Source organism: Homo sapiens, chromosome 15 (genome assembly GCF_000001405.40).
Source record: "Homo sapiens chromosome 15, GRCh38.p14 Primary Assembly".
Lineage (NCBI taxonomy): Eukaryota > Metazoa > Chordata > Mammalia > Primates > Hominidae > Homo > Homo sapiens.
Window position 1 is genome coordinate 25,775,081 of NC_000015.10, and position 14,473 is coordinate 25,789,553.

General features: G+C 49.4%; 1 protein-coding gene across 9 annotated transcripts in view; it reads right to left on the minus strand.

Moving 5' to 3' along the window:
* Positions 1–14,473, minus strand: part of ATP10A (ATPase phospholipid transporting 10A (putative)) — a 192,852-nt gene that overhangs the window by 102,844 nt on the left and 75,535 nt on the right. For 8 of the 9 annotated variants that reach the window (XR_001751368.2, XM_011521828.3, XM_005268261.5 and 5 more), the window contains one exon: positions 5,939–6,143. Coding sequence is in view for 4 of the 9 variants with exons in the window: in XM_011521828.3 (XP_011520130.1) it covers positions 5,939–6,143 (205 nt within the window). In the remaining 5 variants the exon portion in view is untranslated. Of the gene's footprint in view, positions 1–5,938; positions 6,144–14,473 lie in introns of those variants that run through there. The other variant, XM_047432892.1, reaches the window with a different exon arrangement.

A 14,473-nucleotide genomic window follows, 5' to 3' on the forward strand; every position in this document is an offset into this window, starting at 1 on the left:
TGATAGATTATGCTGCCTCCTTCAATTCCACGGCCAATGTAGCTAAATTTCATTAAAGACTAACAACTTGAAAAGCTTAGGGAAAAAGAGACTTGGGTACAAAAACTACCTTGCAAATTATACTTTTTCACTTCTAGTTTTCCTGTGATAGAGACAATTTTGGAAGCATGTGTAGGTAGCAGTTTTTTAAAAAAAATATTTTGTCTTCTACATATTTGGACTTTTGAAGTCACTTTCTAAGCTTCTGAATTCTGTCAAGTAACTTGGGGTGGGACTGACTCTCCTTTGTAAAGAAAACCGTGCTGAGTCAGAGCCTGAATACACCAGGCCCCCCAGGGACTGGTCACAGTGTATTCACAAAACAGAGGGGAAACCCTGTCTCCGCCTTGGCATCACTGCTGACCTGACTGTGAAGGTACGTGTTTAAGAGCAGTGTTTGTCCAGCCTAGGAAGTTTCCATACTCCTTTTATCTTTCTTCCTTATTTGGAACACGCACCACTGTGCACACACACACGTGCACACATGTGCACACGCCTGGGAAGAGTCAGCAGCAGATCTTCCTGCAAGCCTGACAATGACTACTCCCCACAGCGCTGCACAGAGGACGTGGGTGTGGCTGGGATTGTGGGCACTCATCCAAACAGGTCCACCCAAGAGACAAACTGTTGGAAACTATTTTCTCAGTAAATTAACCCACACAGAAGTCACCTCTGGGACGGCTCTTCCCGACACTGACGTGTCCTCTGGGTCTGGACTCTCCAGCTGTTCTCAAGCAGGACAGCCCTGTCCCCGCCTCACCCCGGCTGAAATTCCAACACTCATCTGACATTTCATATCCCTGTTTCTGCTTTCTCGTCTACAGTTAGCACCGAAGACTTCAACCGTCTATCCAACTTTTCACATAGATCATGTAAGCACTATGGCAGGAAAGATGTTCCCCAGTTTTGATCAATGCACCTCCTAGAATGGCGTTAGAAACATAATAAATGCTCAGTACGTATCTGCTGAATGAATTAAAACTTACAAAAATGAGTCTTTGAAAACACTGAGTTTTATATAAAATTATCAGTCTAGGGATCTCCTAGTTCTGCAGAAATGACAAATGTTACAAATGAACTAGAAACTGCTACCCACAGAACATCTGAACGTATGCACCTTCGTGGCAGGGCTGCACGAATGTGCAGGTGAGAGACAGCAGACACCCCACGCAAAGTGGAGGAACCCGCTCCGAATCCACACTGACGGATGGGGTGGGGGAGGGGAGGCACCTTGGGAGAATCTCCTGACTTCACTTTTTCTGTTTCTCATCTATAAATTGGTGTGATAATCATTATCTCACAAGATTTATACTTAAAATTCTGTGAAATTGTGTTTAAAAATGTTTGCTCTACTACAGTTGTGGGAGATACAGTAGGCCTGGCGTGCAGGAGGCTGAACAAATGTGAGACATTGCCTGACAGTGTGATGCTCCACACGGGGGCCTCTCTCAATTCTTGGATAACATCCATTCAACTCCAACTCTTACATCAAATCTTTACGTCTCAAGATCTCTGTTTCTTTTGCCAGAAGTGAAATAGCTGGGTGATTTAAGGTCCCGGAGCCATCAGCCCGGTGTCTAGGCCTCGCCTTCAGATTCTGGGGTCTGGGTGGGCCATGCCCACCGCCTTCCGGTTTTTGTTGTAGCCCCTCAACACTGCGCACTTTTTCAAATGCTCTTCATTAAATACAACCCTATTCCGCCTCTGGGGCACCATCTGACGGACGTCATTCCCTGTAGTGCCTGGCACCTGAGACCTCTCCATCCTGGCCTTCAGAGTCAGTTTCAAGCTCCTCTTTCTGGAACCTCCCTTGACCTCTCATGGCCCCAAACCCCTAACAAAAGCCCCCTGGACTCATCTCACTGCTCCATACTGGGCATCACTGGTGAATAGGCCTGAGTCCTCCACGTATTGGTCCCATGGCTGGTCTTTAGGTGGGGTGTGTGTGTGTGTGCATGCGTGTGTGTGCATACGTGCGTGTGTGTGTGTGTGTGTGTGTACCCGTTCCGCACTGCCCACTCCCTCCAGGTTTCTCCAGGGCTTGGCCTGCTCCACACTTTCCCCATCTCTCAGTCCGGGGTACCCTGGACATATTCCTGCAGGCAACATGGGCCCTCTCAAGCCCAGGCTGCTGCTCCATGCACCCTCTCAAAGGTGGGGCTCCACGGCGCTGCTGTCTAGAGAGCTGTCACCAGTCTTCATCCACTGCAGCGAGGGCCTGGCTCCAGCAGCGTCCAGCAACTGCTCCTGGCATCTAGCAAGTTCTTATGCTTGGCACCTCCCTGGCAATAGCCTCCCCGGTCCCCAAGGGAAGGCTTCTAGCAAGTTCCACCAGTACAGCCCCTAAGTACCTTTCCTGCCATCCCCAAATTTAAGGCTGTGCCCCCTGCCATGGTTCAGGGGTTGGGAGGGTACTCTTCCCTGAGTGGGAGAACTCTGTCTCAGAGCCAGGGGCAGTGGCTGTCCCTTCATCAGCTATTCCCATATATATATATTGGAGACAGAGATAGGGTCTCTGTCCCCCAGGCTGGAGTGCAGTGGCATGATCACAGCTCACCACAACCTCAAACTTCTGGTTCAAACCATCCTTCCCATTCAATCCCTTGAGCAGCTAGGACCACAGCTGCACACCACGATATCTGGCAATTTTTTTTCTTTCTTTCTTTTTTTTTTTTTGAGATGGGGTTTCTCTGTGTTGCCCAGGCTGGTCTGGAATTCCTGGCCTCAAACAATCCTCCTGTCTCAGCCTCCCAAAGTGCTGGGATTATGGGCGTGAGCCACTGTTCCTGGCTCCTATATTCTTCAGGGTCCTCTTTATTTCTTTTTTATTTATTTTTTTAAAGATAACAGCTTTATTGAGATATAATTCACATATCATTACTTCTTATAACCCAATCCCCAACTAAGAATTCTTCACATCAGACTTTCTCTGATTGAATCATGTGTGGTTTCTGTCTCCTGACTGGACCCCGCTGGATACCCTAAGTTCCTGCATTAATGACACAGCCCGCTCTTCTCCTTAACCTAAGCGTTGCAAATCACTTCTAATTTAAGTGATTTGCAAAGGGGCTCCCACTTCCAACTGATCATTCATTAAACTGGTAAAATATTATATTGTATTTCACATAAGTCAGTGTACAGATTATTACCAGTTCTTAACCTGTCTGAGACAAGCTAACTCAGTATTACAAAAAAACTAATTGAAACACAGAGTACTTAAATGTTCTTGGCATTTGTGGTTTTTCAATTGCTGGGGTTTAAAAGTCAAGAGACTTGCTTCCTTTACTTTCAGTGGGGTGGTTCATAGATTTCAGAATATAATGCATAAATGGGAATTTGGATACCAAAAAAATGTCTTTGGACCTTTAGGGAAAGAGAAAAAAAAAAACCCAGAAAGTCGGGGGAAAAAGGTAATTGGGACCAGAATGTGCATGCAGGTAAAGAATTTTGGTGCTAATAAAACAATTTTTTAAAAACCCTCAGAATTGTTTAGGCTGTTAGTTTGGCCATTTTGACCAGATCATGGCTCAAAGCTACTTCCTCAGCATTCCTGGGGCCCTGAGAAGGGTGACGTAGATGTGTTGGTCTGCAGCCGTCCTCGAGTTTCAAACATCTAACTTGTAAGCAGCTCATTTATATAAAGCACCACCGAGCTATGAAGTGCTGCAGTTATTGTTTGGGTAAAAAGTGGGCGGGAGAGGACTGTAGATACGACTGGGTTCAGAAGTTGAAGATCAGAAGATAGGAAATGGGGAAGTTCTTCTTTATTTTTTTTGAGATGGAGTCTCGCTCTGTCACCCAGGCTGGAGTGCAGTGGTGTGATCTCGGCTCACTACAACCTCTGCCTCCCGGGTTCAAGCGATTCTCCTGCCTCAGCCTCCCGAGTAGCTGAGACTACAGGCATGCGCCACCACGCCCAGCTAATTTTTGTATTTTTAGTAGAGATGGGGTTTCACCATGTTGGCCAGGATGGTCTCGAATTACTGACCTCAAGTGATCCACCCGCCTCGGCCTCCCAAAGTGCTGGGATTACAGGCATGCGCCACCATGCCCAGTAGAGGAAGTTATTCTTGAGAGTTGATCAAGGAGATCTATCTGCGGCGTTCCCCTACCTGCCATGCCAAGTGTGCATGCTCCACCCTCCAGTGCTTAAATTCTGCTGTATTTTCCACCTTGTCTGAGGTTTCACCAGTAGATACTCATCTGCATTTGTTTAAGTGGCACTCACCCTCTGTGTGCACAGGCTGCTCCTCTCAGAGGTGACATTCGAGCTATCAGCCCTCTGCCTGCCCCTAACTCTAGCTGAGACCCCGGGAACTGAGAGGGGATGCTGTCCCTGGCTGATGTCAGTGTTAGTTCACATCCCTGCAGAGGAGACGGGGCCAGGCCTAGGGGAGAAGCTGAGAGTGAGACGGGCTCACGCCCCTGACTTCCTGAAGAGAGCCGGGGGTGGGGGGTGGGCACGAGGGCCTGGGGCGAGGGGGTGGCATCGGATGGGGCCCACACCTATCACCAAACCCTGGAGCACAGTCATGGAGAAGCTGGGCGCCGCCAGGCTGTGCCTCGAGGGGCCCCTAACTCTTTCACCAGCTCTCCTGATCTAAATGAGAGCACTCCATTAACAACAACAAAAAATACTATTTTTAATTTTTATGTCTGCTTTGCCTTATTCCAAAAAGATTTGAGGCAGCTCACAAAAATACACTTGGCATAAAAGAAGGTTAAAACACACACACACACACACACACACACACACACACACACAGAGTAAATGAGGAAATCATGGCGGAAATCAGCCCGGTTGGAACAGTCAGGCAGACGCCTGCCGCAGGCAGGCCGGGCGGGCGAGGTGCGGAGTACCTGGCCTGCTGCAAGTGTGTCAGGCATCTCCCCCTGTGACGGTGACCGGGGGCATCTAGAGCGGAGACAGGGATGCTAGAGCCCCCCACAACCCTGCCCAGCCAATCGCTCACCGCCCCACTCCCTACAGTGCCCTCGCTGAGGTCCACAGACAGCAGAGCCCACTGCCCCAGGGAAGCCCGATGGGCTGGTGCCGAGGCCGATGGGGGAGGGCACTGTCTGATAGAGGAGGAAAAGCCCAGTGGCATCCTCCCTGTGAACCAGAGGCCGGCTTCCCCACCCTTCAGGGCAGGCCGACTCAGACTTGCTGTCTAGGCCAGAGCAGGGCTGGGAGAAGGAGGCTTGGGAGGAGAAGGCTCGGGCCAGGCCCATTTCCTTGTAGGGTCTTCCTGATCTCTGAGGGCTCCTGCCCCTGTCAGTTCACCTGGCATTAGCACCTCACACTCCCGGCACAGACCTGGCGGGTGGGGCCCTTTCTCCCTGGAGCAGGGACAGATGTTGGGCAGCCCAATGGAGTCGGTGTGTGCAGCTGTCACACGTGCTTCCCTCCAGCCTCTCACCCCTCACCCTGCTGCACGGTGGCCAGGGCACACCAGAGGCAGGATTCAGCTACGAAGACCTCGCGCTGAACCCAAACACCCTTGAGGAGAAAATGTTCCTGAGCATCCTGGTGGGAACAGGCCATGACTCCTGCTGCGTTGCCATTTAGTAAACCAGTGAAACAGCTAGGTACGTGTTGACCATCAGCTGCTCATAAATGTTCCTTGTAACTTTACAGGAACAAATAACATTCTGCGAAACTTAGACATGCACAAAAGAAATCAGAGTCAGAGAAACTGAATCCTGCTTCCCACAGTCACAGGCGGGTCATGGGCTCAGGTAGGTCAGGGGTCCTCTCAGACCCTCAGACTCGTCTACTAGGAAAAACAGCCTGGTCTGACAGACAGGAAAATGCAGGTGCTCTGAGCCCCAGAAGGCTGTCATGGGGACACTGTGTGGCTGTAATGCCTGCAAGGCCCTGGAAACGTGGGTCACTTACAAGCTCCGAGAAGCCGCGGACCACCTGCCGCCGCTTCAGGTTGGTCTCTCCATCCAGGTTGGCGGTCTCGATGTGGCATAGCCCGTCGGGGTCACTGGAGGAGAGCAGCAGAATGTCCGCAGGGAAGATTTCGTTGCAGCGAAGACGCACAAAGTCTCCCACGTGGATTTCTTTCCAGAATCGGTTCACGTATTTCTTTTCTTCCCTAGAAAACAGATTTTGATTAACAAAACTCACGAGACATTGGTCGTGGCTGGATCTGGGTGATGGGCACGTGGGGCTCATATGGCAATTCTTTCTACATTTGCATAGGCTGAAAATTTTGATAATAAACAGGTGTTTTAAAAAGAATATTTGGCCGGGTGTGGTGGCTCACGCCTGTAATCCCAGCACTTTGAGAGACCGAGGCGGGCAGATTATGAGGTCAGGAGTTTGAGACCAGCCTGACCAACACGGTGAAACTCTGTCTCTACTAAAAATACAAAAATTAGCCGGGTGCGGTGGTGCGTGCCTGTAGTCCCAGCTACTTGGGAGGCTGAGGCAGGAGAATCACTTGAACCTGGGAGGCAGAGGTTGTAGTGAGCTGAAATCACACTACTGCACTCCAGCCTGGGCTATAGAGTGATATTCCGTCTCAAAAAAAAAGAAGGAAAAAAAAAAGAATATTCATACCACTGAAGCTCACTCAAAGTAAAAGAAGAAAAGAGTATTCATAAAGGCCACATATTGTATGACTCCATTGAACAAGCAAATGCATAGAGACAGAAAGTGGATTTGTGGCTGCCAAGGGCTGGGGGAAAAGGGAGTACCAGTCACAGCTTAACGGCAAGAGGCTTCTTTCTAGGAAGATATGAATATTCTGGAATTAGTGACAGTTGCACAACACTGAATGCACTTGAATTTTTCACTCCAAAATGGTTAAAATGACCATTCCTAGGTCTACACTCAGAAGAGCTGAAAGCAGTGACTGGAACAGGTATAGCAAGCCAATGTTCACAGCAGCATCACTCAGAATTGCTAGGAGGTAGGATAATCCATGTATCCATGAACAGGTGAATAATAAACAAAATGGAGTATTATCCAGTCATGAAGAGAAGTGCTATAATACTGAAGACATTGTGCCAAGTAAAATGAGCCATTCACAAAAGGACAACTCTTGCCGGTTCCACTTAATATAAGGTGCCCAGTGGGGGAAAATTCAGAGACAGAAAGTGGATTAGGCACCATCAGTGGCTGAGAGAGGCAGAATGGAGAGTTACCATTTTATAGACACAGAGCTGCTGTTTGGGGTGATGGAAAAGTTTTGGAAATACGTAGTAGTGATGATTGTACCACACCGTAAGTATCACTAATGTCACTGAATGGTACACTTAAAAATAGTTGAAATGGCAGATTTTATGTGCATTTTATAATTTAAAAAATGTAAAATGGTTAAAATATTAAATATTATATTTTGCATGTTTCATCGTAATAAAAAATAATTAAAACACGTTAAGCCACGTTAAGCCAAATGGGACTTAAAGTGCAGCAGGTAAGGGAGATACTTGGCAGTTGGAAGGCCCCCTTACCTCCCAGGGACACATTCCAAGCCACCTGCTTAGAACAACACCCAATACAGTCAGCCTGCAGAACCTACGAGTCACTATCAACAGATATTTAGATTAAAACATAATTTTTAGATTTCTTCTTTAATTCTTTTTCCTGGAATAACAGGCTAACTAATGTCACAAAGGTCATTTGTAAGAGTTCCTTGAAGGCGGTTTTGGCCATTTTTAAATAAGTGGAGGAACATAAATTTATCTGAACAAGGTATGTTACACCTTGGAAACATACCTTGGAGAGGAAATCTCATTGAGAAATCCTCTGGGTTGCCGGGTGCCATGGCTCACACCTGTAATCCCAGCACTTTGGGAAGCTGAGGCAGCAGGATTGCTTGAGGCTGGGAGTTTCAGACCAGCCTAGACAACATAGTGAGACCCCCATCTCTAAAAAAAAATTAAAAAAAAAATTAGTTGGGCATGGTGGCACGAGCCTGTAGTCCCAGCTACTTGACAGGCTGAGGCAAGAGCCTCACTTAAGCCCAGGAGATCAAGGCTGCAGTGAGCCGTGATGGCACCACTGCACTCCAGCCTGGGTGACAGAGGCCCTATCTCAAAAACAAAGAAACAAAAAATCTGTCCTCTGGGTGATACTGTAAAAGAGTAAAAAGCACTAAAACACATTTCATGTTTACCATAACCATCTTACTAATCCTCCCATCCTACACCCCCCATAAAACTCTACTCTCACCCGAGTTCCAAGAGAGCAAGGAGTTTGGTTTGTATCTGGAGGTGGACTGTGTGGGCCACATCTATCAGCTCCCTGAGCATTGGATGAGAAGTATGGAGAGTTTGCAGAGCTAGGAAGCCACACGCCAATTTTCTCTCTTCTATTTAATTCCCCTGTGTGGATTTGAGGGACCCCCCCCTGGCAAAGTTCCAGAGGCTCCTAGGAAACCATCGGCTGCCCTAGATGCTGAAGAGAGGAGTGTCCCCTGCCATTTTAAGCCTCTACTTTTTTTAAATCCTCTAATTCAAGATCCACCAAACCAGTTATGTACAAAGCATAGCTCTGGGGCACTACGTTGGGAACAAAGATACATTAGATGATGCGGTTCTGACCTCGAAAACAAATGCAAGGCAAGCTATCACCGCTAGAGAGCGCCCTTTGGGGACTGTGGAGTCAAGCCCCTGAAAGTGTTCCCAAAGTTGTTCTTCCTGAGCTTACCCAAGCATTCCTCAGAGCTGCTTCTCCTGCTGTGACAAGCTCGGTCACCTGCAGGCCATGTGGTCCCAGCATGGTCAGTCCAGGGAACCATGGGGTCCTCTGGCCATGCAGAGGCTCGTTCCTCAGGCCCCAGCCCGAGGTCTGAGAGGAGGCATGGCAGTGGCCCCCATCCCCAGGCCGTCCAGCTTACGAAGGCCAGTCGGACCCCTTCTGAGCACAGACAGGAAGCTATGATGACTGAGACACTGACATATCTAGCCATGTGCCTACTTCCTTTTCCAAAGGTCAAGCCTTGACTTCATGTCATTACAAGCTTTTTTGTCCTTCTTCCTTCTCATGAGCGTCTGCTGGGCTCCTGCAGAGGACACGAAGCCATTTGAAAGGGCCTGTCCCTTTGGAAGAAAGTTTCCCAATGCTCAGTCACAGTTTGCTCTCAGAGGAAGGCAGCCTATGCCCAAGCATCGGCGGGGCAGGCTTTGTTGCGATGGGGTCCCCAGGAGACCGGGCAGTCCTGGGCCTCACCCTGGGCGGAGGAGGAGAGACACCGCAAGGCACTGTCTCTGTTCAGTTTATGTTAACTACATTCCATGTATAACTCTCATCCAAAATAAAGTCAGTTTCCATCTGCTTTGTAATCATAAAACAATAGCTTGCCTGCCCCATCCAGGAGGCTTTTAAAATAGAAACTTCAGGGGAGGCATCTGGGCTCTGAAGGAGATTCCCCCCTGAGGACCCTCCACACATGGAGAGATGGGGGTGCCACGTGCAGACCTCAGGTCACTGTCCTGGTTTGTGGGAGTGGGGGAAGGGGTTCCTCATGGGCTGCAGAAAGGACGCTGGCTTCTAAGAAAAGGCCCTGGCCAGGTGCAGTGGCTCACGCCTGTAATCCCAGCACTTTGGGAGGCCAAGACGGGCGGATCACAAGGTCAGGAGTTTGAGACCAGCCTGACCAACATGAAGAAACCCCATCTCACTAAAAATACAAAAATTAGCCAGGTGTGGTGGCACGTGCCTGTAATCCCAGCTATTCAGGAGGCTGAGGCAGGAGAATCGCTTGAACCCGGGAGGTGGAGGCTGCAGTGAGCCGAGATCGCGCCACTGCACTCCAGCCTGGGTGACGGAGCGAGACCCCGTGTCAAAAAAAAAAAAAAGAAAAAGAAAAGGCCCTGCAGTCCATGGGAATCCCTACCAGGGACAGACCCTGGAAGACTCAGATTCAGGAGCCCCTTATGAAGGAACAGCGGGACAGGCCCCTCCTTACTGCAGCAGACCAAAAAGGCAAGAGATGCCTCAGGGGTCCAAATCCTGCAACCACTCCAGCTGGAGCACCCGGCAAGGAGCCTGGGCCCACATCAACCCTGCCATGTCACCACTGGCTGCATTTCCCTAACAGCCTTTCCTAATGTCCCCTGAACTGTGTCCCCCGAGAGACTATTTGGAGAGAGAGGCTCTAAAGAGGATTAAAGTTAGAATGAGGCCATAAGGCTAGGCCCAAATGCAATGTGGCTGGGGTCCTTATAAGAGAAAGGCAGCAGAGGCGTGCGCACACAGCTGTAAGGACAGGGAGAACATGGCGAGGGGAGGGGCCTCAGGAGGACCCATCCTGCCCACACCTCGGTGTCTGACTTCCAGGCTCCAGAACTGCGAGGTGATACATTCCTGCTGTTGAAGTCACCCCATCTGTGGTCCACTGCCACGGCAGCCTGAGCTGACGAATACACTTAATAACGTCCATTCTCGTGACTCTGGCTGGAAGGAGCAGCTCACAGGCTGTAGTGACAGAAACTGAAGGGCAGGCAGAAGCAGTGAGTGGCAGGAGAGGCATCTCACCCTGCAATTTATCCCCATGCACAGGTTCTACATACCCCCAAGACAGAAATCGAGCCCACTGGCACAACACTCTTAATACCAGCCACTCAACCACGCCCTTCTTGAGGCTTTTATCAGCACGGACCTCTAGAGACAGGAAGAACGGCTGGCTGGGGAAGTCTGGCTGTGCTGCTGAAGAGGACATCGTTGAATGGGCATCCAGTTCTCTGGCCCTGGTGGCTGGAATGGGGGCACCACCCACCTCGCCCAGGGGCAGGGTCTGCTTGGAGAAGGGACAGAGTCCAACAGTGACCAACTTTGAGTTCAAGAAGCTGGTGGGGCTGTGCGGGGTCCGGTCTCCGGAGGTGTCTCCAGCTTTGAAGACAGGCAGATGGAGACAGAAATATTTGGGGGTCTTAAGCACAGAGGTGACAGCAGCCCCCACTGTGGATGTCATCACTGAGAGCACCAGGGAGAAGTGTGGGGAGAAGGAGAGCTGAGGGCTGAGCACAGGCCATGCAGGCAAGGTCGTGCCCAGGCGGGGAAGCTGGCGTTGTGGCTGGGGGCAGAGAGGTGCCACGCCAGCACACGGCATCAGGGTGGGCCAGGGCTGACCACACAGGGCCCGGAGGACACAGGGTTCCTGGGTGCCTGCCACCCCAGCCAGCAGCCACAGGTCTGCCTCCACACCTCGGCCTTCACCTCCCACGGCCGAGTGAACACGGCTGGAAGGACATCTCGAATGTGTGCCCGTCACCACCGCAGTTTTACTCCATTTTTGGAGACAGTAACTTCCAGTGGCACATCCATGAAGGCAGACAGTCCTCTTGCGCATCACTCAAGCACATTTCATGCCCAGCTGTAGCAAGACCATGTAGTCTTTTGAACGACAGAACTGTTCTTCAGAAGTGGACCTCCCCTACAAAGGCCATGGACGACTAAGAGCTTGGGACAGGTCTTTAGGCCACACCAGCAGGAGCTCTAGACGCTAAATTCCTCTCAGCATTGAGACATCATTATCATCTTTTTTTTTTTTTTTTTTTTTTTTTTGAGGCGGAGTCTCGCTCCATCCCTCAGGCTGGAGTGCAGTGGCGTGATCTCGGCTCACTGCAAGCTCCGCCTCCTGGGTTCACTCCATTCTCCTGCCTCAGCCTTCCGAGTAGCTGGGACTACAGGCGCCCACCACCATGCCCAGCTAGTTTTTTTTTTTTTTTTGTATTTTTAGTAGAGACGGGGTTTCACCGTGTTAGCCAGGATGGTCTCAATCTCCTGACCTCATGATCTGCCCGTCTCGGCCTCCCAAAGTGCTGGGATTACAGGTGTGAGCCACCGTGCCTGGCCCATTATCATCTTAATTGTAATAACAACATTAAAAAATCAGCAAAGCTGTGCTGGATATCCTATTATGACCCAGGCCTGCACAGAACATTTCACAGTCTCTCTCAGTGAACCCTCCCACGATCCTGACAGTATGTTCCCACTTACAGACATGGAAACCAAACGCGCAGAGACTGACCTCCCAAAAGTCACACAAACCTGGGTGACTCCAGGGTCTGGGAAGCCTTAGAGAGATTTGGTTTTGAAAGCACATCTGATCTGGTAGCCTAAAGGAGGAATATCTCATGAAGACTATAAAGTGCTAAGCAAAAAAGTTCTTCCATTTTTCCCTTTAAAATTATGCAGTGCAGAGACTAATGTGGTCTGAGATAAAATATCACTAAGCTTGAGAAACGGTGGAGGCCAGGCATGGTGACTCACATCTGTAATCCCAGCACTTTGGGAGGCTGAAGTAGGAGGATCATTTGAACCCAGGAGTTCAAGACCAGCCTGGGCAACATAGTGAGACCCCATCTCTCCAAAAAATACAAGAATGAGCCAGGTGTGCTGGCACACCTTGGTCCGAGCTACTCAGAAAGCTGAGGTGGGAGAATGACTTGAGCCTGGGAAAGTTGAGGTGGCAGTAAGCCCTGATTGCGCCACTGCAGTCCAGCCTGGATGACAGGGCAGGACTCCTTCTTAAAAAAAAAAAAAAAAAAAGAAGAAAGAAAAAGAAAAAGAAAAGAAAAAGGTGGGAGGAAAGGCAGACAGTTCCAGATTTGTGCCAGTGTTTGACACAGACATGGAGTAACACAGTTCAGTCCATTTGCCAAAACCACTTCCAATGTGCAAACAACTGGAGGGGGCTTGTCCAAGATCAGGAGTCACCAAACTGTGTTTTTTTTGCTACAAACTGGGAAGTGCCCCCTACATCGGCCTGCATAGATGAGGGATGAACTCCTCCCTCACTGGTACCACCTGCAGTTGGGACCATCTGAGGTGTGGCCATAGAAGGACACTGCCCTCCCCCAGGATCACCTTGGGGACTTCCCTCTGGGCTAAACAAGCCACTGAGAGAGTTCCCGCTAGGGCAGGGTAGCTGTTTATTCCCCTGGCTTTAATCAGGCTGATTTGGTGGCTTTGAGAGGTGCTCCCAACGTGGGCAGGGCACACCTGACACTTGAGGGGCCCCAGCCTGGCCACCTGACAAGTTCCTTCTGCACAAAGCCGCCACACCCTTCCTCACAAAATCCCTCCTGCAGGAAACATGTAGGAGCAGCACTAAACAGCTGGCTTTGGAATGATCAATAATTAACGAGGGTGCTTCACATCTGGCCACTACTTTCATTTAGGGTCACAAAGCCACGGTGCACACACAGTCTCAAGTGCATTGATGACTCATCCCCAGTAAGACAGGGCGCCAGCCCAGAAGCCTGGACTCTGAGTGCCCGAGTTCCTGATCTGCAGAACGGGGGTCTGTAGGATCGCTACAGTCTCCCCCAGCAGACACTGACCCATTTCCCCGTAGCCCTCTGCTCCCGTCCCACCCGCTTCACGCTCTTCTGGCTGTCACCAGACTGTCAACAGTGACTGTTCAATTAAGTGAGAGGCCGTGGCCACTATTTTGACTTCACATCTCCTGTTTTCTTTTTGAGCATGGTTTTTCCTCACTATTATTGTTGAAGTGAGTGTCTGATTTTGACTAACACAATCAGAAATAGTACAAATGAGCAGCGTGTTATATCTTGTCTTTGATTTGTGGTTTGGAATTAAAACAAGAGCTGTTACTTTGATTTTTTTATTAGAAAGATGGTAAGATTGCTTACAGGATTTCCATGAAATGGAGAACACAGACAGTACTGCTTGAGGTGCGGTGGTATATAAAATATGATTATGTGTTTAGTATCATTCTGTATTATTTCATTGGAAGAGAACAATTAATCCCTACAAAGAGAAAGCTCCAATTAAATCTGTGTTACATTCGACTAAACCTAGAAAAATCCGGATGCTTTGTGCCTTATAGATGAAACAGGTAATGTGTTATTTTGCGGGGATGTTTGTTTTTGAGACAGGGTCTTGATCTGTCATTCAGGCTGCAGTACAGGGCTGTGATGATAGCTCACTGCAGCCTCCAACTCCCAGGGCTGAAGGGATCCTCCCTCCTCAGCCTACCAAGTAGCTGGGACGACAGGTGTGCACCACCACACCCAGCTAATTTGTTTTTTATTTTTTGTAGAGATGGGGTTTCACCATGTTGCCCAGACTGGTCTCGAACTCCTGGGCTCAAATATCCACCTGACTCAGCCTCCCAAAGTGCTGGGATTACAAGAGTGAGCCCCCATGCCTGGCCAGAATACATTTTTTAAGAAAAAAGAAGACATGTTAATGAACCTAACATGCAGACCAACTAGATTGAGGCCTCCCAAGTGAGGTCAGCCTGGGGGACTCCTTTGGCCAACTAACAGGAGAAGTGTGTAACACTTTAAACAAACAGCAAATGTGAAACCAGGACACAGTGAGGCGAGCCCTAAATGGGAGGATCACCACAAGAGATCCAAGAATCTTGTGGAATAATCATTAGTGCCAAGGCCGATGCCTTGGGAATAAGAAAACCCTTCTTGGAATTTATTTTTCATATGGTGG